At 48.5% G+C, this 25,976-nt stretch overlaps 1 protein-coding gene and 1 long non-coding RNA gene across 3 annotated transcripts in view, besides 5 other annotated features; one reads left to right on the top strand and one right to left on the bottom strand.

The window, feature by feature from the left end:
* TMOD1 (tropomodulin 1) overlaps positions 1-22,181 on the bottom strand; it is a 100,564-nt gene extending 78,383 nt beyond the window's left edge. Inside the window, exon 1 of one of the 2 annotated variants that reach the window (NM_001166116.2) lies at positions 22,094-22,181. The gene's annotated coding sequence lies outside the window, so the exon portion shown is untranslated. Of the gene's footprint in view, positions 1-21,557; positions 21,696-22,093 lie in introns of those variants that run through there. The other variant, NM_003275.4, reaches the window with a different exon arrangement.
* On the top strand, positions 6,890-10,324 carry TMOD1-AS1 (TMOD1 antisense RNA 1). Its single transcript, XR_930157.3, has 3 exons — positions 6,890-7,148; positions 9,472-9,668; positions 10,145-10,324. It is a non-coding gene; the product is annotated as a TMOD1 antisense RNA 1 (long non-coding RNA).
* Positions 7,041-7,541: an enhancer, noted in NCBI's record as "H3K4me1 hESC enhancer chr9:100278102-100278602 (GRCh37/hg19 assembly coordinates)". NCBI's record gives its function as "activates a minimal SCP1, AML or CMV promoter by ChIP-STARR-seq in naive H9 embryonic stem cells {active_cell/tissue: H9 hESC(naive)}" and the evidence as "EXISTENCE:reporter gene assay evidence [ECO:0000049][PMID:30033119]".
* Positions 11,760-12,249: an enhancer, noted in NCBI's record as "active region_28664". NCBI's record gives its function as "activates an Ori minimal core promoter by ATAC-STARR-seq in GM12878 lymphoblastoid cells {active_cell/tissue: GM12878}" and the evidence as "EXISTENCE:reporter gene assay evidence [ECO:0000049][PMID:35858748]".
* Positions 19,628-19,772: an enhancer, noted in NCBI's record as "145 bp enhancer 268 fragment used in the MPRA reporter construct; PK_construct_4103". NCBI's record gives its function as "activates an SV40 promoter by MPRA in K562 cells {active_cell/tissue: K562}" and the evidence as "EXISTENCE:reporter gene assay evidence [ECO:0000049][PMID:23512712]".
* Positions 19,692-19,709: a transcriptional cis regulatory region, noted in NCBI's record as "GATA motif; enhancer activity is reduced when this motif is scrambled". NCBI's record gives its function as "necessary for full MPRA enhancer 268 activity {active_cell/tissue: K562}" and the evidence as "EXISTENCE:site-directed mutagenesis evidence [ECO:0005528][PMID:23512712]".
* Positions 21,159-21,878: a silencer, noted in NCBI's record as "silent region_20101". NCBI's record gives its function as "represses an Ori minimal core promoter by ATAC-STARR-seq in GM12878 lymphoblastoid cells {active_cell/tissue: GM12878}" and the evidence as "EXISTENCE:reporter gene assay evidence [ECO:0000049][PMID:35858748]".

Below are 25,976 nucleotides of genomic sequence, written 5' to 3'. Positions count from 1 at the left end.
AAGAATTGGTTTGCCAGCAGGACCCTGGGGACCAGGGTTCACCTCTGCTGCTTCCCAGACTGCTCTCTCTTGCTGGAGAAGCCTACTGTTCATTTCCCATTTCACAGATGACACCCAACGCATTTGGACCCTGTGTGTTTGGACCCTGTCTCTGCTACTTCCCATAACCATGACATTTTCAGACCTGTTAACTCATCTGAGCCTCTCCACACACACTTTTTTTTCCCCTTTTTTATACCTTGAAGATCTTCTTGGATACTAATAGGTCTTTTAATTAAAACATTTTTATTAGTGAAAAAACTAAGGGATGGCCTAGGGCTTGACTCAGGACCCCTGACATCAGTCCGAGGGTGCTCTCTACTCCACCACACTGCCTCCGCTGAGCTAGGAGGGACAGCAGGACCTCGAGCGCTATTGTCCTCCAGCTTGGCTAAATGTAGTACTGTGCATAGAATCAGTGTGATGAGTTATATGTGTCTCCTAAAAACTCATATATAAGGCTGGGTGCAGTGGCTCATGCTTGTAATCTTAGCACTTTGGGAGGCTGAGGTGAGAGGATTGCTTGAGCCCAGGAGTTTGAGACCAGCCTGGGCAACACAGTGAGATCCTGCCTCTACAAAAAATACAAAAATTAGCTGGGTGTGGTCGTGCAGCACCTATAGTCCCAGCTACTCAGAAGGCTGAGGTGGGAGGATCGCTTTAGCCCAGGAGGTCGAGGCTGCAGTGAGCCATGTTCCCGCCACTGCATTCCAGCCTGGGTGACGGAGTGAGATCCAGTCTCAAAAAAGTAAATAAATAAATAAAATACAAATAAAAGTTCATATGTTGAAGTTCTAACCCCCAGTATCTCAGTAACCTAGCAACACATTGCAAGTTAGAATGTGACCTTACCTGGAAATACGGTCATTGCAGATATAAGTAGTTAAGTTTAGTCAAGGTCTTACTGGATAGAGTGGGCCCCTAATCCAATATATTTTACCTGGGATCCTTATAAACGGGAAATTTGGACACAGATATAGCACACTAAGAGAATATCATGTGACAATGAAGGCAGAGATTGGGGTGATGCTACTACAAGCCAAGGAATGCCAAAGATTGAGAGCAAGCCACCAGAAGGCAGCCCCAGAAGGAACCCACACTGCCGACACCTTGATCTCAGACTTCTAGCCTCCAACACTGTGTGACAGTACGTTTCTGTTATTTAAGCCACGCTGTGTGTGGAACTGTGTTCCAGCAGCCCAGGCAAACTTATGTAACAGATATGACCTTCTTCACAGCAACGTACGTATTTAGACCTCCATGCAAGCCAACCAACCAACCCACCCGTGGCTCATCTGTGAAATGATGATGGAATTTTCTAAAGTAGAGAAAAATGAAAACTAGGAAAGGACAGTCAACCAATCGATCCAAAACCTGGGAATAGTTGTTAATGAAAAATAATTAAAGGCATCTAAAACAAATGAAAACCAAAGTTCACTAAGCTAACAGAAAAAGTCTCTGTCTCAGAAAGCAGAGAGCACATTTTATCAGTGTAAGCCTGTGCATGTGTCGGCCTATTTGCAGGAGAAATCCAAGTATATGACAGCTGGCTTGATAAGAAGGACTTGCTTCCCAAATACAGAAACCTCAGTGCCATCCTTTTCTCTCAGAATGGCTCAGCTTGGCCTAACGTCCTCTTTGACCAGGCCCCAAGAATGCAATGCTCAGACCATAAATGGCCCCCCATCACTTGATCCATTTCTATTACTTCCAAAGAAAGCACAGCTGACAGTGCTCTGGTATCGACGAAAAAACCTTCCTGAAGGCCCTCAGAAAACAGCCTAATTTGGCTTTTCCTAAGTGAAGCCAGGATGGGGAGAGGATCCATGATCTCTGTGCTGGGGCCAAGAGGGACTCCAGTGAAGGGCTTGGAGTCTTCCAGAACCAACTCACAGAGATGTCCAGAACTGCCTTAAAACTAGCATCTCTTAGAGAGGCTGCAAACACAAGCTTTTGGTGCTCAAACGGGTTTTGGGTTATATGAAGTTCCCTAGGACTCTGGACTGCAGGACTTCTTCAAAAATGTTGGTATGTGGGTATACAATGGAGTCTCCAAGAGGAATAGGTTGCAAGCAGAATTCCCCCAGTCTTTTTTATCATAAAAGCACGTCTCTGAGAAACTGCACCCGGAAATGGAATCTCACAAAACCAAGTTTGGAAAACACGCTTTTTGCCTCACCTCTGGGTCACATCAGAACCACACAAGAAGGGACACAAGGACAGGACCAGCTGGGAAACACTTCTGGGGAACATCAGACAGGTTGGGAACCCTGGGAGTGTCTCATACTTGTTACCTCTTCCAGCTGCCTTATTTTCTAGATGCTTTATAGTAAAAGCCTTAGAAAAAGAGTCATGGACAGACCCTGGAGAATGGACCAGCCAGGCCGAGGGAGCAGGGGAGAAAGAAATCCTTTATCAAAGCCAGCTTGGGGAAAAGGGGCTGGGAAAAGAGCCAGAAAGGAAAGGAGGTGGCAACTATGAGGACTGCTGAAGGAGGGATATGTGGTGGGGCACTAGGCCTCCCCTAGAGATGCCACCCTGAGGGGGGCAAATCATGAAATTTCCTAAAGAAGTCTCCTCTTACTGCACCCAGGAAAGTTAATGCACCACATACACACCCCAAGGTGCTATTGATTTCTAAAATCCTATTTCACTGGATTTAAAAAGCCCTTTCTAACGTCAAGAGTCCTGTGAATATTATGGAGTGATGAGGCACAACATGAAATAAACTGAGAAGAACCAAAAACTCTAAGGTAAACTATGAAGCTGTCAGTTTCAAGCCACACTCATCGACTTGGCTCACAAGGACGGTTGCTACGAAGCAGTATTCTCCTGTGGTGGAGGAAATGGGAGAACTGGAGGTAGGGAAGACACAGGGTGGGAGGGAGGCGAAAACAGTGTGTTCAGAGAGCCCACTGCAAACTCGGTCTTAAAATATGGCTTAGAAGAGATTGTATTTTATAGCTGCTAATAAAAGGCCTCTGTTTCCTAAGAGAAGAGGTGTCAGGGATGGAGCACAGGCCTGAGCTTCATAGGACTTGTGGTTGGAGTGTTAATTGTGACAGTAATTCCCTGGGTGACCCTTGCTAAGTTCCTTCCCTCCTCTGAAAAATGAAAGCATTGACTGACCTGGCTGGTTTTTAAACTATGCCAACAGGAGATCTCAGGCTCTGAGAAAGTGCCTCCAGGGCCCTGCAAAGGGTTAGGGATAAGTGAGGGGGACTCACTCCTGATTTTACCTGATGTATTTATTTGGGTTCCATATAAAATTTCACTTGAAGAAAGGATTCTGTGGCTCAAATAAAAAGTGGAAAATCCCTGGACTGGGTTTCTTGGTCTGCATAGTGAGAGGCTAACCGTACTCGCCCCCGTAAGGTATTGTGAGGATCATGGGGTAGCAAGCAGATGAGGCTGTAGCCTGGGGTTGACTGGTGCAGTCAACTGGCTTCACAGATATTAGCCATTATTATGAGGCTGTCGCTGCTGGAGTCTCTACCTCCTTTCCCCGAGCCATGCTGTCGTCAGGCTCCGAGGTCCCTCAGGAGAGGACCCGTGTTCTATGTGTCTTCGTGTTCCCAGTGCCTTGCCCTGTGCCTGGCCCAGTGGTGTCACCTGAGGAATGGGGAATGAGCACCTCTGGGTCCTGGTCTAGGGTACTTGGAATCCTGGGCAAATCCCTTATCTTCTCAGATGCTCTGTTTTCCCATCTTTACCACGGCAAGATTGGACCAGATCTGGAGGGACTGAAAGTCTGAGAGGGGAGGGATGGGCAGGAAGGGGGTGATGAAGCCGCTGGGGCTCCCAGCATGGCCCACCTGCAGCAGCTCCTGGTGACCCTGAGCAAGAGTTGGTGAGAGCAATAAAAGGACAGGTAAATATATTTAAAACACCTTCGCAAACTCAAGTCTTCCAAATCTGGTGTCTATTTTACACTTACAGCATATCCGGCCACCCCGCTTCTCTGTGGCAGAAGCCTTAAGCCTCCGTTAAATATGAAAAAATAGAATTTACAAGCTGTGCCAGGAAGTAGCACTCGGCAGGTTGGACAGTGAAAATGAGGGAGTCAAAGGCTGAGGCCATCCATCAGGAAAGCCTCAGAAATGAAAGCTCTGAGAAGGAGCAGCTCCTGGAGTACACAAGGCTCTTTTAAATCTTTCACGGGCAGCCGGTCCAGTCACTTCTGCTAATGGCTTCTCCAGCATTGCCCGCCAATGTGGGAACACTCCAGAGGAGGCACTTACGCGGCATCATCTTGATTTATGGACTGCACTTCCTTGAGCTCAGGAAGAGCTGAGTCACAAGTTCAAATAAATATTTTCCAGTTATACTGACTTGTTATTTCAGCCACAGTGAACATCTTGAGGATGGGAAGGCAAGGTTGACTTAGAAAGTCCATCCTTTATGCCCCAGATATTTGTGGATTTGTCCCTGTCTTCCGGAAGACACTTTGGCCAAAGGGATTTTATGTCAGGTTCCCTCTACACTAAATTCTGTATCCCAAGACAATGCCATCTACCTCCCTCTCTGGAATCTCTCTTCCCTCGGCTGCAGGGATGCAAGAGCACCTGCAATGTCCCCTGTCCCTCCTGAGAGAGCTGTCTCCCCGCTACTCCCCTGCACCCTTTAAGGGGCACCTCTCAGGGCAGCCATGCTTCATATCACGGGTCACCCCTCCACTCTCAGATGACTGGGCAGAGGGGTGCCTGGCTCAAGGGTAGCCAATTGATTGGAAGGCCAGTGACAAGGTCCCAAGGTGGCCCAAGACAAAGAAAAAACCAAAAAGAGGAGTTGGGTAAAAGAGGAGTTCTTAGCTCATTCATTTCTTAGCATTTGTATTTGTTTCCTGGGGATGCCCCCGTCAAAGCCCCACAAACCAAGTGACAGAAACAACAGAAGTGTGTTGGCTCTCAGTTCTGGAGGCAGAAGTCAGAAATCAAGGGTCAGCAGGGCTGGCTCGCTCTGAGGACGAATCTGTTCCCAGCTGCTCTGTTGGCCTCAGGTGTTCCTTGGCCGGCAGAGGCTCCTTTCCCTGTTTTTTTCTTCGCAGTGTCTACCCTCTGCACATGTCTGGATCCAAATTTCCCCTTTTTCTGAGGACAGCAGTCATATTGCATTAGGGCTTCCCTAAGGACCTTATCACATTCACAGGTCACATTCACAGGTGCAGCTTTTTTGGGGACACAATCCAACCCATAATAACATGGAACTGGGACAGGAGGAGAAGATGGGGCAGGTGTTGGGGCAGCTGTGGTGAAGAGAAGCTGGGGGGCCCATCGCGGACGTGTGGAAGCTGAGGCGATGGGGGATGAGAATGGGCAAGGGAGTGGAGTCCTGAGGGACAGCTTGTGCTGCCCATGAGAGACAGAGCACACAAGACCCAACAATGCCCAGGCCCCCCTCCCTCAAGCCTGGATGGTACGGCTCAGCCTGTTTCCCACGAGCCCCCTGTCCTCCCATGAGCCTGTCCAGGCCCACCCATCTGGCCACGCCCACTCGCTGTCCTAAGGGACCTTAATGAGCTCCCACTCCTTGCAGCGAAGCTCTCCTGGTTTCCCTGCTTCCTTTCTGAATCCTCCCAGGTCTCCTTGATGACGCATTATTCTTGGCCCACCTGTTTCTCTGGGCTCTGCCCTCTTCTCACGTTCTCCCTGGCTGGTTCTCATCTTCTCCCGTGTGGGGCCTGCTACCTGTGATAAGCTGAGGACACTCAGATGGTGTCTATCCAGCCCAGGCCCCTTCCTGAGCCCCTGCTCCCTTCTGGGTACCTCCCCCTGGAGTCCTCAGGCCCCACATGCCCAACCCAGCATGCGTGTCCGGCTTTGGCACCACCACCCTCCCCTGGCCTGGTTTGCAGCTCCTCTTCTGCCTGTCAGTCACCCAGGCCAGACCCTTGGGGTCAGCATAGACTTCCCAGCCCACTCTCCAGCTCAGGGCCAGCCTGAGCCTGACAAAGCTCTTTCTCTTATTTTAAACTTTTTTTTTTTTCCCCCATCACCCACGCTGGAGTGTAGTGATATAATCATAGCTCATTGCAGCCTCCAGCTCCCAGGCTCAAGCAATCCTCCCTCCTCAGCCTCTCGAGTAGCTGGGACTACAGGGGTGCATCACCATGCCCAGCTCATTTAAAAAAATTTTTTTGTAGAGATGAGGTCTTGCTATGTTGCCCAGGCTGGCCTTGAACCCCTGGCCTCAAGCAATCCTCCCGCTTCAGCCTCCCAAAGTGCTGGGATTATACGTGTGAGCCACCATGTCTGGCCTCTCCTCCCCACCCCCACAGGCCCACTATCTTTTTGTTGTTATAGTTGCTTTTCAAATTGTGGTAAAATACACAAAACATAAAATTTGCCATTTTAACCATTTTTAGTTGCACAGTTCTGCGGCATTAAGTACATTCCTGTTGTTGTGCAACCGTCACTACTATCCCTCTCCAGAACTTTTTCATTTTCTCAGACTAAAAACTCTGTCCCTATTAAACACTAACTCCCCTTTCTCTCCTCCCCCAGCCCCTGGCAACCACATTCTCCTTTCTGTCTATGCGAATTGGACTACTCCGGGGGCCACCGATGACTGGAGTCATGCTGTGTTGTCTCTTTGTGACTGGAATCCTGTCTCTTTAACATCCTTGGATCTGTCCCTCCTCTCCCTTCTCACGGCACTGCCTCTTATGATCTCAGTGAGTACAGTGGTCTCCAAACTAGTCCCCTGCCTCAGTTCTCCCTCCTTCCTATCCTCACTCAACTCAGCCTCCAAATGATCTTGGTGAAAATCAGTCCTCATGCTACTCCCAAGCTGAAAACTCCAACTGCTTCCCAAGCTCCAACTCCTAAGCTCCAACTGCTTCCCAAGCTCCAACTGCTTCCCATGGATGGATAGAGAGCATGTCTTTAAAGCGCACCTCACCACACAGGCTCCCGGCACCCCTGGTTGGGATAATGCCCCCCTCTGCTCCCACACCTCTGTAGGAAGCTCTAAAGAAGCAGCGCTGCCCCTGCCTAGCGGAGGAGACTGGGACTCCCCACATCTCTCTGTGTTCCCAGATTGAGCCGGGCAAGATCACATCTGACATCTGCACATCTCAGCGCCCAGCCCCTGCCTGGCTCAGAGTGAAGGTGAAGTTACTGCAGATTGAACTGAATTGTCAGTCAGGGATACAGACCCCTGGGCGAGGGTGGAAAACTGAATCCTATCTCAGGCCAGTGACCGGCAGGGGAAGAAAGTCAACCAGCAATCGATTGGGTGGGCAGGGGTAGGGTAAGGTGTGGAAGGAGTAGACAAAAAGTAATGGAAGTTTGAGGGGGCTTAGCTTCCTTAGTTTTTAAGGCTGAGATCAGGGTCATAAAAGGTGGTGCAATAATTATGCCAATAACCACTCCTCCGATGTGCAGAGACCTTTGCAGCGCATAAAAATATAACTACTTTTATGCTTGCAGTTTCATGTCCCCGGGGGCGTGTTGTCACCTGTGATGGGTTCCAGATAGAAGAGAGCCGAGGAGAAACAGGGAGAGGGAGAGAGCTGAACTGAGAGGGCTGAGCTCTCTCAGTCACCAATGTCTTGATTCCAAACCATCCTGCTTCCCCTAAGGATCCCCTGTGTAAAATAGCTGAGGCTTCTCACTCTGCCTTGCTGAAAGATGCACCCAGGCAGGACTGGCTACGTAATTTGCTGGGTTCAGTGCAAAGTAAAACAGTGGGACCCTTTGCTCAAAAGGCAAGACAAAAGTGCCATTAAAGGTACCAAAATAGGCTGAGCGTGGTGGCTCATGCCTGTAATCCCAGCATTTTGGGAGGCTGAGGTGGATGGATTGCTTGAGCTCAGGAGTTCGAGAACAGCCTGGGCAACATGGCAAAACCCTGTCTCTACAAAAGATAGAAAAATTAGCTAGGCATGGTGGTGTGTGCCTGTAGTCCCAGCTACTTGGGAGGCTGAGGTGGGAGGATTGCTTGAGCCTGGGAGGCAGGAGTTGCAGTGAGCCAAGATCATGCCATTGCACTCCAGCCTGGATAACAGATTGAGACCCTGTCTCAAAACAAAAACAAAACAAAGTATCAAAATATAAAGCTCTTCGTTTCTCCCATGGTCTCTCTCTTGATCTGGCATGGTGGTTTGTTTTTTTTTTTTTCATTTTTGTTTTAGTTTACAAACTTTTGGTAGAGACAGGGTCTCACTATGTTGACCAGGCTGGTTTCAAACTCCTGGACTCAGTCAATCCTCTTGCCTCAGCCTCCCAAAGTGCTGGGATTACAGGTGTGAACCACCATGCCCAGACTGTCATGGTGTTTTTTATTTATTATTAATACCGTGATCCACATAGGTGTCCGTGTACTGCACAAGAAGCCCACTGGCTGCCAATTTCTTTCTCTTATCACACCCAGGACCGACACATCCTGCCCTAGGGCAGGGCCAGGAAGTCATGCCAGGCATTTCCCCTTCCCACGGTTCACTGGCCCAACACAATCTTCTTGTCTGCCCCGATCCAGGTAGTGAGTGGCCTGGTCCTGGCCGCTGCCGCAACACAATCCTTTCGTCCACTTCTAATTCAGATTACCTAATGTCCTGGCACAGCGACTGCAATATCATGGGCAATTCCCAACGGTATTACAACCCCTGTGCCAGGACATTAGGTACCTGTAAGAGCAGTGGATGAAAGGCTTGCCCTGCAGAGTTTCCAGCTGAATACACCAGGCGGCCTCACTGGCAGCCCAGCAGGAGTGGGAAGTGGGAGGCTGAATGGAACCAGAGGGTGCCAGGGGCGAGGGAGCTCTAGTCCAAGAACCCATCCCCAGGAAGCAGTGAGGCAACAAGAGGTGGGACCTCATGCAAGCTGAGGTTCTGAGCCCTGGCACATACTTCATTGAAACTTCACTTAAAAATATAAATTCAAAGATAAAATTATTAAGAATTTCGGCCAGGTGCGGTGGTTCACGCCTGTAATCCCAACACTTTAGGAGGCCAAGGCGGACGGATCACTTGAGGTCAAGAGTTCAAGACTAGCCTGGCCAACATGGTGAAACCCTGTCATTACTAAAAATACAAAAAAAAAAAAAAGAAAAAGAAAAAAAAGAAAACACAACCCCCCCCCCAAAAAAAAAACATTAGCCAGGTGTGGTGGCGGGCACCTGTAATCCAAGCTACTCGGGAGGCTGAGGCAGGAGAATCACTTGAACCTGGGAGACAGAGGTTGCTGTGAGCCAAGATCGTGCTGCTGTGCTCCAGCCTGGACAACAGAGTGAGACTCTATCTCAAAAAAAAAAAAATTTAAGACAGTGACTGCAGAACATTCCACCAAGCACAGTGTCCCTCTGAAAGCAGGGCTCTGTGCACCTGCACAGGTGTACAACCTGTTTCCAGCCTTAGCCCCAGGGCACACGCTCTGAAGGCCCCAGGGCCAGACTCAGCCTTGGCTTACATGTGAATGTCCTTTTCCTCCCTAGTGTCTTCCAATCCATTGAAATTTCTAGTCCCGGGGTCTCGAGGACACTAGGGCCACTGTGCAATGGCAGAAGGAGCATTGCCATAGAAGTCAGGGGGCCTGGTTACAAGTCCTGACTTTAGTTGAGGACCTGCCATATGACCTTGAGCAAACTGCTGTACTTCTCTGGATCTCAGTTTCTACAACCTAATTCACTGGGTGAGTATTTACTGGGTACCCACTATGGGGAGGGCATGCTGGGTCTTTTTGGGAGAGACAGAAATTAATAAGAAGTCCTAGCTCTCAGGCGCTTATAATTAACATGGGGAGATAAGACTCACACAGAGATCCTGGGATAATGTCACACCCGTCCTCTCTTCATCCACCACCCCTGGAGCAGAACAGATGCCCTGGGCCCTTAGTTTCCTTTACAGGTGAGGCCCCATCTTGGGTCAGCCTGGTTAAAGATGAGAGCTTGAACTAGGGGTCATGCAAACCTGGGCTGAAATCCCTACCCCTGGCTCTAGCTGACTGGGCAGCCTCAGGCATACCACTTTGTGCCTCTGAGATTCGGGGTTTCTTCTGCAAAGTGAGAGCAGGACACGGACTGAATGTTCTCCCAAGGGGTACTGTAAAGGGGACATGAGAGAAGGGATGATACAGCTCGATAACCGGTTTCCTTCACCTTCCTTCAGGCCCAGCCTGCAGCCTGCAAGCACCGGATGAGTGGACGTGGCTGAGCAGCCATGAGAAAGATGTGGGGCTCTCCGGTGACTGTAGACCCAGCATAAATCAACAGTTCAAGGTGCTCATCCCCAAAGCCATGGTGAGACCTTAGCTGCTGTAATAAAAGTGTAGTGCCAAAGTAAGGGCAATGACAGTCTTGCTTGGTTTTATGCTGGAGCTCAACTCTGGGCCACACTCTTTTGTGGGGGGTGGGTGGTAATTATCTTTTTTAAACAAGACACTGGCTATATACAGTCAAGTGTGCAAGGCTTAAGTATACAACTCATGTAATTTTCCCACATTTATATACCTATGTAGACATTCAAATGAAGATACTAAACATTTCCAGCCCCCAAGAAAACTTCCTTAAATTCCCTCCTGGTCAATCTCCCTCAAAAGTAACTATTTATAATATATATAAAATAATATATTTATAGTACTATTCTGACCTTTAAGACTGTAGATTAGTTTTGGCTTTTTGAACATTGTATGGAAACATATAGTGGATGTGTTTTTTGGGGTTTTTTTTTTTTGCATCTGGTTTCTTTCATTCAACATTGTATCTGTGAGATTCACCTGTGCTACTGTGTGTAGTAACAGTTTGTTCTTTCTCATTGATGTGTAGTATTCCATTATCTGAAATATACCATAATTTATTTATTTACTCTACTTTTAATGGTCATTTAGGTTATTTCCAGTATTTGGTAATTATAAACAGTGCTATGAATATGTCTTTTGGTAGAAATAAGCACTTCCTTCTTTTGGGTGTGTACCCAGGAGTGGAATTGCTAGGTCATAGAGTGGGCATATGTTTAGTTTCAGTAGATATTGTCAGTTTTCCAAAGTAATTTTACAATTTTACATTTCTACCAACAATGTATGATAGTTCCAGCTGCTCCACAACCTTGTCAACACTTGGTACTGTCAGCACCTTCCTGTTAGCCATTCTGGTGGGCAGGTAGTGGGAACTCATTGTGCATTTCCCTGACGACTAATGATGCTGAGCACATTTTATATGCCTTCTGGACATGGGGATGACCTCTGCTGTGAATTAGGCCTTCTCTTTTGAGTGGTGCTGAGTCCAGAGAAGGTAAACAAGGTGTCATATGAAGAACAGTTGAAGGACCAGGAGGAACATGGTCACACTCTCCAAACCTCTACTGGGCTCACCTGGGGAAGAGGGAACAGAAGAGGTCTGTGGCTCCCCAGAGGGCAGAAGACATAGATTTATTGAAATTACCAGGAAGTAGATTTCTGATCAGCACAAGGAACTTTCTAACAATAAAAACTGCCTGAGGGCCAGCTGGGCACAGTGACTCACACCGGTAATCCCAGCACTTTGGGAGGCAGAGGCAGGCGGATCGCTTGAGGCCAGGAGTTTGAAACCAGCCTGGGCAACACGGTGAGACCTTGTCTCTACAAACAATTTAAAAATTAGCTAGGTGTGATGGCGCACTCCTGTAGTCCCAGCTACTCAGGAGGCTGAAGTGGGAGGATTGCTTTAGCCCAGGAGGAAGAAGCTGCAGTGAGTCCTGTTTGCACCACTGTACTCCAGCCTGGGTGACAGAATGAGACACAAAAAACAAACAAACAAACAAGCAAACAAACAAAAACTGCCCAGGGGTACACTGGGCTAAGCCGGGAAGTAGTGAGCACCTGTCTCTATAGGCTGTGAGCAGCGATGGCAGAGCCCTAGATGAGGTCTTCCAGAGAGGGTTGATGTCTTGATTGATGGTGGTTATTGGGGAGTTGACAATACAGGATTTAAGGCCCTTTAAGGCCTAGTTCTATTATGACAGATGTGCGTGGAGCCCCTGAATGGAGGAGGATGGGGACTTAGAGACCAGCTATTGTTAACAGACTTGTTTTCTGGCTCATTTGCAGTTATTTTCACTGGCTGATTTCATTCTCTTAGTCATATGGGAAAGTACCTTCTAAAAAAACAAACACACTAAACATAGTGTTTGACTCCATCACTTTCTGCAGTTGCTATGAGCTTCATCCCAGAACACAATGAGCCATGCTCGATGCTCTAAACGTCAAAGTTGTCAAGTGGTTTAAATTGGAAAAGCCTGTGTGTGTGTGTGTGTGTGTGTGTGTCTGTGTGTGTGTGTGCGCGCGCGGGTGCATGTTTTCATTTTGCATCTCTTGGGGTCATCATGGTGTCTGAGTCACCACAGCAATCATCTGTAAGCAACAGGGTTCCAGGAAAAGAGTCTGAAGACATCTCCCTGTCTCAGCTGGCCTGCCCACCTGCCCTCAAACCATGCTGCACTCCACTCCTCCTATGTCTCTGCAACTTTTCTGGTTCAGGCCACACTTAGCTCTCCCCACGCTCTGCCCCTTCCATTTCATTTCCCTCCACACCAGCAGAAGAGAGTTCTAGGAAGCTAACGATTGTAGTACAAACAAGAGAGGCCATCAGAGTTCTTTGGGAGTTATTGCATTATCTTCAGGCACCCCTACTCCCACAAGACTAAAAGCTACCTGAGGACAAACATCTCTGTCTCCCATGGTCCTTCACAAAGCCCTGCACCTGTCCAGTGCTGAAGACATATTCGTTGAATGAATGAATGAATGAATAAATGCCTAGCATTATTATTAGCTTTGATAGCCGTAAGTCAAAAGCACTTGTAGAATAAAAGCTAACCTGTAGACCGGGTGTGGTGGCTCAGGCCTGTAATCCCAGCACTTTGGGAGGCTGACGTGGGTGGATCCCCTGAGGTCAGGAGTTCGAGACCAGCCTGGCCAACATGGTGAAACCCCATCTCTACTAAAAATACAAAAATTAGCCAGGCGTGGTGGTGGGCACCTGTAATTCCAGCTACTCGGGAGGATGAGGCAAAAGAATCGCTTGAACCTGGGCAGTGGAGGTTGCAGTGAGCCGAGACTGTGTCACTGTACTCTTGCCTGGGCAACAGAGTGAGACTCAGTGTCAAAAAAAAAAAGCTAACTTGTAGGAAAGCTTGTGGAATTCATTCCTATCCTCATTCTCCATTTTACAAACATGAACTTCATCACATAGCCTCATAGCAGGTGTTAATGTAAGATAGAGCTTTATGAAACATGTTTTTGTATTTTCCAAAAAACCAATATGAAAATTAATACGAACAATACCAAAAAGCAAACGGCAAGCTGGGGGAAAATATATTTGCTTCATATTAAACAAAAGGCTGATTTGTTTAATAGACAAAGAGTTCCTCCAATAAAAAAACAGAACAGGCCAGAAAATGTGGAAAGAGGAGAGGAATAGACAGTTCACACAAAAGGAAATACTAATGGCTAATACACATATAAATAATAACAAAACTCACTTATAATTATAAAAAAGCAAATTGTGGAAGGAGATATCAGTTCTATCAGATTGACAGAGATTTAAAAGTCTGAGAATTCCCAGTGTTGACAAGATGTGGGGAGACCAGTGTCCTCACACAGAAGAGAAGTTACATTGGTATACCCTTTTTCAGTTCAAGACCAGCCTGGGCAACATGGTGAAACCCCGTCTCGCCTAAAAATACAAAAAATTAGCTGGGCATGGTGGCATGCACCTGTGGTCCCAGCTTCTGGGGTTTGGGGGAGGACCACTTGAGCCCAGAAGGTGGAGGTTGCAGTGAGCCACTGCACTCCAGCCTGGGTGAAAGAGTGAGACCTTGTCTAAAAAAAAAACAAAAAACAAAAAAAAAAACCTCTATTAGCGAAGAAAAACCCAAAACCCCCAAAACGGCATAAAAATTCAATAAGACATTGAGTAAATAAATTAGAGACATACAACAGACTACTATTAACACCATCCTTGAGGCTACTGTTGGCCACTTGTCACTGTACCTTATAATAGAAGCTTTGTTTTGTTCTTACTGCATACCAGGCACAATGCTAAGCTCTTTACATGGATTATTTCTTGCAGTCTTAATAATTGTGAAGCAGATACTTTTATTATCCCCATTTTACAGATGAAGAAGTGCAGACTATGTTAGATTTATAGGGCTGCCATAATAAATGACCACAAACTGGATGGCTTAAAACAACAGAGATTTACTCTGTCTCAGTTCAGAGGACCAGAAGTCCAAAATCGAGGTGTCAGCAGGGTTGATTCCATCTGGAGGCTTTGACGGGGAATCTGTTCCATGCCTCATTCCTACCTTCTGGTGTCTGCTGGCCATCCCTGACAGTCCTTGGTTTGCAGCCACATCACTCCAATCTCTGACTCTATCATCATCTGTTCTTACTAGTTATGCTGCCTATATAGGTTTATTTTAAGCCATCTCAAGCCTTTTTAAGGGCGTGTGTCCACTCTTCTTCTTAAGACACCAGTCATAGGGTAGTTAGGACGTACCCTAATCCAGTGTGACCTCATTTTAACTTCATTAATTACATTTGTAAAGACCATATTTCCAGAGAAAGGTCACATTCTGGGGTGCTAGGTGGGCATGACTTTTGGGGGGGACCCTGTTTAACCCAGTAAGTACACTGACCAAGGTCACAAAGCTAATAAGTGGTAGAGCCAGGATTTACATCCAGGCAGGCCATCAGTACTCATTACCAGTACTCCATGCTGCCACCTTCCCATAATATAACAGCTCACGCTTACATAATATCCCAGGCACGTCTTAAGCATTTTACATATAAGAACTAATTTCATCCCCACAACAACCCCAGTTTATAGATGGGGACACCAGGCACAGAAATGTTAAAAGTTGGCTGGGTACGGTGGCTCGCACCTGTAATTCCAGCACTGTGGGAGGCCGAGGTGGGTGGATCACCTGAGGTCAGGAGTTCGAGACCAGCCTGACCAACATGGCGAAACCCCATCTCTACTAAAAAATACAAAAATTTGCCAGGTGTGGTGGTGTGCACCTGTAGTCCCAGCTACTCGGGAGGCTGAGATAGGAGAATTGCTTGAACCTGGGAGGCGGAGGTTGCAGTGAGCTGAGATCGCCCCACTGCCCTCCAGCCTGGGTGACAGAGCGAGACTCTGTCTCAAAAAAAAAAGAAAGAAAGAAATGTTAAAAGTTACCTGAGATTACAGAGCCAGTAACTAGTAGACCTTGGATTTGAATCCAGCAAGGTGGTCTCCAGAGTCTGTGTGTGTGTGTGTGTGTGTGTGTGTGTGTGTGTGTGTGTGTGTGTGAATCAGGAAGATAGATTGTGTTTCATTATGTGTCAATTGCTATTTAAGGCCCCCCAAAGGACTAATGAAGGATTTGAGTCTGCCCTTCATTGCTCCTAGGTTCCCTGGCCTTGTGCAGACTGATCCGGAGTCCGCCTTAACTACTATGCCCTCTGTCTAGTGGCCTGTCTTGACAATATACTGAGGATTGGGGTTAAGAAAATAGTTCCCTCTCCTGAAAGACTGATTGATGTTCTTCCTTCTACTATCAGACACCAAGAGTCCTCCCATTCATCTTGTCCCCCCCTTTCCCCTTGGCTGCCATGAGTCATCTCAGAGCCAATTTGAGTGTCCAAATACAGTTGTCATCTTCAGCCAGGGCACTGGCATAATTTTCTCTCTTTATTCTCTGTATCGGGTGCTCTTAACCCGGACTTTTGAATAGGCTTCAGGGGAATCACACACCCACTGAAATGATATGCAAATTGTTGTGTATATGAATATATTCATTTTTGTGGAGCAAGAATTCATAAGCTCTAATCAGATTCTCCAGGAGTTTCGTGATCTTAATCTTCAGGGTTTCTGCCTGTCTTTCTAGAATTTCTGTTCTTACTAGTTGCATTGGTCATGTAGTTTATTTTTTAAGCCATCTCAAGCCTTTTTAATGCTGTAAGTGGAATACAATGTAAAACCATAATAAGCAAATGCGTGCAATGTTGCTATCCATTCTGAATTTTTAAATCTCTCTTGGTTTGCATGGAGGAAGTCTGTCCTCACGTCTCCCTCTCTCTTACCTTCACTTTGCACACTTCTGAGTGGTTTTGATGTCTCAGGGTCTCAGGTGTCTCAGGTTCCCATCCCAGCACTGCCCAGGCACCCATCTTGTGCTCATAGATCCAAACTTGCAAGAAGTTTGCTGACCAGAAAGAGCCCTTGATTTTGATCCAAGGCACAAATGAATTCATTTGTAGATTTAAAAATCCACTATCTTAATGCAATGGCCAGGAGGAAGCTTTGTGGTAACTAGCACTCACCTTGGTGTTCAAAATGTGGTGGTTTGTAGATACTAGTCAACACCACCTGACTAGATGTTTATTAGAGCTTATTAGGAATTATTAAGTTTATTTTCTAATCAACTTATTAGAGCTTATTAGAAGCAAGGAGCTTTTTAGAAACTCAGACTCTCAAGCCCCATCTCATACCTACTGAACCAGAATCTGCATTTCTGAAAAGATCCCAAGTAATTTCAATGCACATTAAAGTTAGAGAAGCACGGATATAAAACAAGAAGACTCATTTCTCAAGTTTGTCAAACCCTGGAGAGCACTTCAGTTTTCTGGAATTGGATGACCTGGGACAATTCCTACTAGGGTTCACTGTCCCATTACAAAAGGTAGGTAACAATACTTGCTGTTCCTCCCTCATGGGGTTACTGTGAATTTCAAATGAGCTCTTGGATTCACACTAGCTACGTATCATGATGGGGCTGATAGGAGCTGGAGAGCTGGCAGTGGGGAGCAGAATAGGTGTGGTCTCTGCCCTCATAGAGCTGATGATTTGGTCGGGTAGGAGAACATGCTGTAAATGCTGGTTGGTGTTGTGTGACTGTCCTGGTTATCACAGAGCCTTCATTCATTTATTTCATGCATTCATTCATTCATTCGGTGGTCAGCCATTTATTAAAACCTGAAGTGCCTGTACTATGTCACACATTAAGCTCTGAGCTGCACATGGGGAAGCAGAAATAAATGAGTCAGAAACCTCGTCCTCAGGGAGCTTTTAGTCTAGCCAGAGACAGAGATACATCATTGGGTGGTTCCATTTAGAACACACTCTGGCTGGTGCTCTGAGTTGGCACAGGGGGCTGTGGGGGTACAGGTAAATCAATGAAGAACTTTGCTTTTAAGGGTGATTACAAGTTCACAGACTGAGAAGAGGGAGAACAGCACTGAAGGCCGAAAGAACAGCAGGGGAAAGGCAGGGAGGCATGAAGGCACAGCATGCTTTTGCCATGGCCAGAAGGTAAAGAGAATTTGGAGGAGTGCCTAGAGATGATTTTGGAGAAGTAGCTTGAGGCCCGGTCTTAGAGGCTAATGAATCTGGTCTTTATCCCTTAGGAAATGGGGAGTCCCTGAAGGGAGACAATTGACGCAGGTGAAGATCTTTTAAGAGCAGCATGGAAGAAGGAATGACTTGAGGCAGAAATACCTTTAAGAGGCTCTGAGAGCAGCTTAGGGGAGAGAGGAAGTCCTTACTGGGGTACTGGATGTGGCGATAGAAATGGATGTAAGAGAAATTAAGGAAGGTAGCATTGACAGGACTTGGTGGGCAAATGAATGGGGTGGTGAAGAGAAAGGAATCAGGAGGCAGAGATGTCTATAGATGAGGAGCACAGTCCAGCTTGATGCAAGAATTAGGGAGTTGGGAGGTGACTGGAGTCGTGGGAGTGAATGAGACTGTGAGAGTGTGCGGTGGAAAGAGAATAGGGGTAGGAGTGGCACCAAGGCACCAACAGCAAAGCGATGGGCAGCAGCGATGAGTCTATGAAGGAGGCTGAAGGATGCCCAGAGGCAGTTCTGCTTTCCTTCATTCCTTTGGGCATGGAGAGCAACAACGCAGTGGTCACAACTCATCACCCTCCAGAATCATCGCTAGAAACGGCCCTGGGGTCACCACCCTTGAAGCCCCAGAGTGAGTGGGGCCTGAGGCTGGGGCCCCTGAGAACATGAACTGAGACAGGGATGGACATGCGTGGACGGACGCAAGCCCTTGTCTCCCTCTCCCTCCCTCTTTCCTCCTCACAGATGGTAATGTCCAACCCTTTCACAAATCATTTTTTTCTCTGAAAGAAAACCAAAAGGACATAAGAGAAGGAGAAACAAAAGGCATGCTTGAGTTTGTTTAGTTTTTCAGATCAGACAAAAACCCAGCAACACCTAACACGAAAGAAAACCTCCCAGACCGTGTCCTAAGTTGACTCCAATGAGCTCATTCTCTCATTAAGAGCAAAGAGAATTAGGTTCTATCATGATTAGCCAAAGGAAGATTTTACAAAACAAAACAAAAGAGAGGAAATGGCCCGGAATTGTGCTATCTGGTTCATGCTTTTCCATAGAAACAGGCCTGTGGTTTTAAACTGATAATGGCTCCTAGCAGCCCAATAATTGATTTATCTGGTGTTCTGGCTTTAAGGGAAAAGTAAACTGGCCTCTTTAGAAATGTTGGCAGCCTGGCTGGTCCATTAGTAAGACTGAAAAGTCAAAACATTGACTGGAAAAGGCCATTACGACCGGGCTCAGCAGGAGTCATCGATAGATGATGTCATTTCAGAAATAAATAAGCCAAGGTTATGAGGCCCCAGAGCAGGGTCAAAACACTCTTCACAGCCCATCACCATCCTCCATCGCAGATACTGGTCTGCCAGAGACATAGGGGTCTGAGCCAGGATCTGCTTCGTTTTACCTTTTTTTGCTCATTCCAGGGGATGAAGGCCACCTGCAGAGTCTGTGACATTCTGCAAGTCACTAAGGAAGGTCCCCAATCCTCATTATGGGCACACCTTTTAGATTCCCCTTTAACTCTCTCCCCTCTCCTGGGTTCTTCTCACTACTTGCCATACTCTTTATCCTAGAATGCCTGCCTCCCTTCTGTTCCTTGTCCTCAGTTCCTGCTACCTTCCCTCTCCCTTCCTTTCTCATCCAAGCTTTTAGAAAGAGTTGCTGGCTCTGTTGAGAGCCTTCTTCAGCCTACAGCCTGAAGAAGTGGAGAACTTCTTCAGCTCCTGTTAGCTCCTGCCTTTCCCCCTCACCACAACGAATACTATCATTGCAATATCAGGCTCTGGGCTGAGGGCTTGCCCTGAATCATCTCACTTAATTCTCACAAGCAGCCCCTATGAAATGGGGCTATTGTTGTCTCCATTGTATGAGGAGAAAACGAGGCTCAGACAGGCTGGGTCACTGGCAGATCTCATTTTTTGAGCCTGCTGCAATACCCTGGTCTAAGTCACTCATGATCCCTGCCAATCCTGATGGTCTTTTCCCAGTCCTCATCCCCCTACTCCTGTCTCTCCACAGCAAGTGACACTGCCCACCTCTGTCCTCCCTTGGCACCTGGGAAAGCCACTGTCTCTCACTCCTTCCCCAGCTCCTCCTTACAGGATGGGTCATGCTAGAAAGGCTTCCAAGGAAGACTCTAAGCCCTCTCCACTCCAGGTCCACTAGAGACCACCTTGTCTGCCCCCTCATTGCTCAAGGTTCCTCTGAGTGGGTGGCAGAGTTGGGGCTGGAGCCAGATATCCTAACCTCCAGGCCAGTCCACCTCCCATTGCTCAGAGCTGCCACACCTACTTTGTGTTTTCTGTTTTTGCTGAGCTGCAAGAAAACGCCCTACCCTGAAGGAGGGAGAAGGTGTGAGACCCTGATAAGGTGGGGCGGAGGCTATTTTTAGAGGACACTGGCTTTCATCTTAGGCTGGGAGAAACTCAAGGGTCAATGACTCTCTAAAACACGGGTTTGTAAGACTAGCTCATTAAAGATAATACACCAAAGTGACAGTATTCTTGTTTTCACTCTGCCTGTTGGTTGTGTGGCTCTAACTGATGGAAACTTTATTATCTGACTCCATTTCCCGTTAATTCTTTTTTCTGTAAGTCTTTGAGATGGCTTTAGAAAAAAACACATAACAGAAAGTAAAGTAGAAGCAAAAAGGAAACTTCAGGATGAGGGCGCTATTGTCCAGACAAGGTAAAGTCCAGAACAGCAGCAGATTCAAGAAGAGGGGGCATTGATCGGGTGCTCCCAGAGCTCCCGGACCTGCCTGAGCAGTGGGAAGGGTGCGGAAAGAGATGGGAAAGGCTGGGAGACTGCAGAACTTCTGGCGTGACCGGCCCTGTGTGACCTTGAGCAGGGGGCTCTGCGGCCCTGCACAGAGGACAAAATGGCAGTCACCTCTGGAAGAAAGATGGGGTGGGGGCCCTAGGGGTTCTCACGCTGAGGGCCCAGCACCTGGGTTCAGGGTCTGGTTCTGCGATTCAGACACGGAGGAGCTTGGGCCAGGTCGTCTCCGAGAGTCTGAGGGCATAGGGCGAGGGCTGGAGACAGGGTCTGTAATAGTAGCGGTGGGTGAAGGGTGTAGGAGGGGGCGGCGCTGCGCAGGTTGGAGGACGCATCATAGGCCCGATATAGACCGGGAAACTGTGGCCAGGGAGCGGCTGTACTGGAACCACTGCCCCTGCCCAGCTCATCGCATCTGAAGCTGCGTGGCTCACAGGCTGCTTTGCCGGCTACGGAGCAGAGAGATGCCCATAGGCACCCCAAAAGTGCACTTCCTAGGGTTGTACGGCTTAGGATATCCGACGGCCTTAGTGAGTCCCAGGATACGATCGAGTCTGGGGCAGTCAGTCTCCGATTTCTGCAGCGTCTCCGCATGTGCGCGGCTGGGACCCCAGCGTCCCAGGCCCGGAGAGGGTGAACAGGTGTGGGGAGCGCAGGCGGCCAAGAGCGCGCCCTGCAGCTCTCAGGGCTTGGGCTCCCAGCTCCATCGCGGCTACCAAACCTCGCCCCTACAAATGGGAGACTGAGATCCAGAAACAAGAGGGGGATTGCCAAGGCCATGCCGAGAGCCGGCGACAACCTGGGGCTCCCGCCTCCAAGCTCTTTCCAGCTCCACTTGGCCGCGTAGCGCGTGTCGTGGTGCTTTAAACCTTGTCTCTCCCAGTTTGGGAAACTTCACCTGCCCCAAACACTCTCAGCGCGAACCTGGGATCCACGTCCAGTCGAGCCTTTACTCCCCCACTCCCACCCCCAGACTCTTGCAGGCGGAGAAGAGGCCGCGCCCCCGAGCCCAGCTCCGGCTGGCACCTGTACCCAGCTGAGCACCCCGCGGGCTCAGAGCCCCGCCGCGCTGGAGTCCTGCGGGTGGCGGGGGCGCCCCTCCGCCAGGACCCCAGCCCGGGGCGCCGTCTCCTCCAGAACCCCGGGTCCTTCTCGCGTTCACAGACGCGGTGCGGAGGTCCAGAGCGGAGGGCGCCCTGGCCAGGGCTGCGCGCGCGGGGAGGCGGGGACGGGAGCGCTGGGCTCGGAACCCCGAGACCCGGGCTCCCTAGCCCCAGAGGCAACCCGAGGCGGCAGCTATTTATAGAGGGAGCCACGCTCAGTCCCTCTTGGCGGCGGCGGCGACAGCTGAATATTTTGCCCAGATATGGCTGAGGCCCCGGAGCGGGGGCAGGGAGCCCCGCGAGCGCGAGGGGGACCCCAGGCGGGGTGGGGGCTTACCCGGACGCAGAGCTGTGGGGCCGGCGCGGACGCGGGCTGCGGAACAGGCGCGGGCGGCGGGCAGATGGACGCGGGCGGAGGCCGCGGTGCTCCGGCGGGCAGCGGGCGGGCGAGCGCAGCGCGGGGCTGGACGAGCTCCCGGGCGGCCGCGGGCGGGCGGGAGCTGTGGGCTCGGGGGTGGGAGCCAGGGGCGGGCCCGGCTCGGCTGTCACCGCGCCCCGCCCCGCCCGCCGCCGGCTCCCTCCTTCCCCCCCCCTCCACTCGGGGGCGCCCGGGCGCAGCGCACTTCCCCGTCGGGACGCGGCCCTGGGCCGGGAGCGCAGGGGAGTCGGGCTGCAGCCGAGCGAGCGCGGGCCCCTGCCTGGGTCTCCTCCGCTTCCCCGCTGGTACCAGGAAGAGTTTGAGCGACGGTAGAGTTATGTGGGAAAAGGTGGGCAGATTTGCATTCCTGTGGGGTTTAGAATTTAAGATTTTGAGAATCTGAAGTCCCCAGAAGTGATGGACCAAAGCCAGCTAAGCAGCTGCTGCACCTTCACCTCTGATTGAAGCGCCGCTCCGTCCGTTTCCCAGCAGCGCGGCCAGGTGGGCTCTGAGCCGCAAGCTTTAACCGCGATCGTTTTGTCTACACGTAGTTCCAACACGCAATCGAATACATTCTCTCTACACTGAGAGCGAGTGGAGTGTCTAAAATACTGATTTTAAATGACCACAACAAAAAGACCCAAGTTCTTAAAAGGCTTTTTTTTTTTTTTTTTTTTTTCAGAACAAACCACTTTAGGTGGTTTATTCCAAATACAATTTTAAGTGTTTTAATAAACAAATGTCTCATGCAAAGGAATTTATATAGAAATAGGAAAACGTCTTATTTTGGATTATTATGGGAAAGCTTTTGGTAGGGTAGACCTTAATAAAATCAGCTCTTAATCCTGATGTATAGATTATTAATGAGAAACACTCATTAACCAAATTTTGTTTCTCAAGAAAATGAATTTCTCTAAAGTCCTCACAATGAGAACGCTCTTTTCAAGGGGTATATGCCATACATTTAAAAATAAGCAGTGATCTAATATTTCAGATTATTTTAAAACATTTTTGTTGTGAATCGAACATATAAGAACATACAACATAAGTTATGTTGTATGTGTAAACAAAATAAATGTGCAGCTTCATGACTTTTTACAACGTGAACACCTGTGCAACCAGTCACTCAGAGAACATTGCCTACAGCCCAGAAGCCAACCTGTCCCTCCTGGGTCCCAACTCCCTTCTAAAGATGATCACTTTCTTGACCCTTACGGTGATCATGTCCTTGTTTTTTTTCTTCCCTCTGTAGTATGTCTTCATTTGTTCAAATCTGTTGTTAATCTGTGGTTTTATGCAGCTGTAGTTTTTCACTGTATGAATATGCCACAGTTTAAAAAAAAATCCATTTGACTATTAATGGGCATTTAGGTTGTTTCCAGGTTTTAGCTATTACAAATAGTGCTGCTGCGAACATTCCTTGCCAGAATCCTCCTGTCCACGCGCACAGCCTGCTGTTGGAAGTGCTGGGTGATAGAGAAAGCCTAACCTCAACTTCGGCAGAGATAAGCCTGAACTCTTCCAAAGTTATAGTACCATTGTACAGTGCAGTTTCCCATCTTCAACAACACTTGAAGTTACAAAAATTGAAACACTTTAGAAATTCTGATATGTGAGTAATGGTATCTCATTGAGGTTCAAACTTGCATTTCCCTATATCCTAATGTGTTGAGTATCACTTCATATTTATTGGCCAGTTGGATTTGTTTTGTGAATTGTTCAGATTTATTGTCCATTTTTCTTCTGGATAGTCCTGTGTATTGAATAGATTCAATGGTGTGTGTATCCTCAGTTATATTCCACTCTTTTGCCTTTTCACCTTATTAACGTATTTTGATAAACAGGTGTTCTTAAATACAGTCTGGCAATCTTTTCCCTTATTGGCAGCACTCTGTGTCCTGTTTAAGAACTCTTTCCTGTTCCTGGGTTATAAAGTTATCTTCCTATGTTATCTTCCCACCTTAGCCTTTCATGTTTAGGTTTTTTGTTTGTTTGTTTTTGTTTTTGTTTTTGAGATAGAGTCTTGCGCTTTGTTGGCCAGGCTGGAGTAAAGTGGTGTGATCACGGCTCATTGCAGCCTCAACCTCCTGGGCTCAAGCCAACCCCTTAACCCCCACATCAGCCCCTCAAAGTGCTGGGATTACAGGCATGAGCCACCATGCCCAGCTATTTAAAAAAATGTTTTTTGTAGAGATAGGGGACTTGCTATATTGCCCAGGCTGGTCTGAAACTCCTATGCTCAAGCAATCCTCCCGCCTCAGCCTCCCAAAGTGCTGGTATTACAGGCGCGAGCCACTGTGCCCAGCCTCATGTTTAGTTTTTTGTTTTTTTTTTTTGTTTGTTTGTTTTTTTTTTTTGAGACAGGGTCTCTGTCATCCAGGCTGGAGTGCAGTGGCGCGATCTCGGCTCACTACAACCTCTGCCTCCCAGGCTCAGGTGATCCTCCCACCTCAGCCTCCTGAATAGCTAGAACTACAGTTGTGCACCACCACATCCAGCTAATTTTTTGGTAAAGACAGGGTTTTGCCACGTTGCCCAGGCTGGTCTCAAACTCCTGGCCTTAAGTGATCCGCCCACCTCAAAGTGCTGGGATTACAGGCATGAGCCACCATGCCCGGCCAATGTTTAGGTTTTCAATCCATCTGGAATTGACTTTTGAATATGGTATGAGGAAGGGTTCATTCACATTTCATTTGTTTGTGTCACACTGACTTAGCACTAATTTTGTGGTTACATCAAGAAACAATCTATTGCTTTATTTTAAAAAGTAATGGACTCCTCCCCCTCCCCCTCCCCCTCTCCCTCTCCCCACAGTCTCCCTCTCCCTCTCCCTCTCTCTCCACGGTCTCCCTCTGATGCCCAGCGGAGGCTGGACTGTAGTGCCGCCATCTCGGCTCACTGCAACCTCCCTGCCTGATTCTCCTGCTTCAGCCTGCCGAGTGCCTGGGATTGCAGGCGCACGCCGCCACGCCTGACTGGTTTTCGTATTTTTTTGGTGGAGATGGGGTTTCGCCATGTTGGCCGGGCTGGTCTCCAGCTCCTAACCACGAGTGATCTGCTAGCCTCGGCCTCCCGAGGTGCCGGGATTGCAGACGGAGTCTCGCTCACTCAGTGCTCAATGTTGCCCAGGCTGGAGTGCAGTGGCGTGATCTCGGCTCGCTATAACCTCCACCTCCCAGCCGCCTGCCTTGGCCTCCCAAAGTGCCGAGATTGCAGCCTCTGCCCGGCCGCCACCCCGTCTGGGAAGTGAGGAGCATCTCTGCCTGGCCACCCATCGTCTAGGATGTGAGGAGCCCCTCTGCCCAGCAGCCCAGTCTGGGAAGTGAGGAGCGCCTCTTCCCGGCCGCCATCCCGTCTAGGAAGTGAGGAGCGTCTCTGCCCGGCCGCCCATCGTCTGAGATGTGGGGAGCGCCTCTGCCCCACTGCCCCGTCTGGGATGTGAGAAGCGCCTCTGCCCCGCCGCGACCCCGTCTGGAAACTGAGGAGTGTCTCTGCCCGACCACCACCCCGTCTGGGAGGTGAGGAGCGTCTCTGCCCAGCCGCCCCGTCTGAGAAGTGAGGAGCCCCTCCGCCTGGCAGCCGCCCCATCTGGGAAGTGAGGAGCGTCTCCGCCCAGCAGACGCCCCCTCCAGGAGGTGGGGGGCAGCCCCCGCCCGGCCAGCCGCCCCGTCCGGGAGGGAGGTGGGGGGGCGCCTCTGCCCAGCCGCCCTGTCTGGGAGGTGGGGGGGCCCCTCTGCCCGGCCGCCACCCCATCTGGGAAGTGTACCCAGCAGCTCATTGAGAACGGGCCATGATGACGATGGCGGTTTTGTCGAGTGGAAGCGGGGGAAGTGTGGGGAAAGGAAAGAGAAATCAGATTGTTGCTGTGTCTGTGTAGAAAGAAGTAGACATGGGAGACTCCATTTTGTTCTGTACTAAGAAAAATTCTTCTGCCTTGCAAAAAATAAATAAATAAATAAATAAATAAATAAATAAATAAAAGTAATGGAAACATTTCTAAAGTCAGTGAAATAGAAACCTTTTCCTAACCTGTAGACAATTTGAGGATTTTTCCATTTTTTTATTAGAGAATGAAACAATTATTAAAAACATACCAGTTTATTTCACTTAAACATTTCTGTGTTGGGATATTTTTATTTCATCATAAGTGATAAATCACTGGCATTCAGCACTCCTGAATTTTGAATCACTTGTTGTAAATACTGAGTTTTAAAAAGCTAGAGATAATTTTGACATGTTTAAAATGAAAAACTTCAAATATTTGGTCTCTACCTTCCTCTTTCTGTTCTCATTTGTTTCTGGATTTTTCTCAAATAAAAACAAACAAATGACATTGAG

Source organism: Homo sapiens, chromosome 9, assembly GCF_000001405.40.
Source record: "Homo sapiens chromosome 9, GRCh38.p14 Primary Assembly".
Lineage (NCBI taxonomy): Eukaryota > Metazoa > Chordata > Mammalia > Primates > Hominidae > Homo > Homo sapiens.
This window is presented reverse-complemented; position numbering and strand designations above follow the sequence as displayed.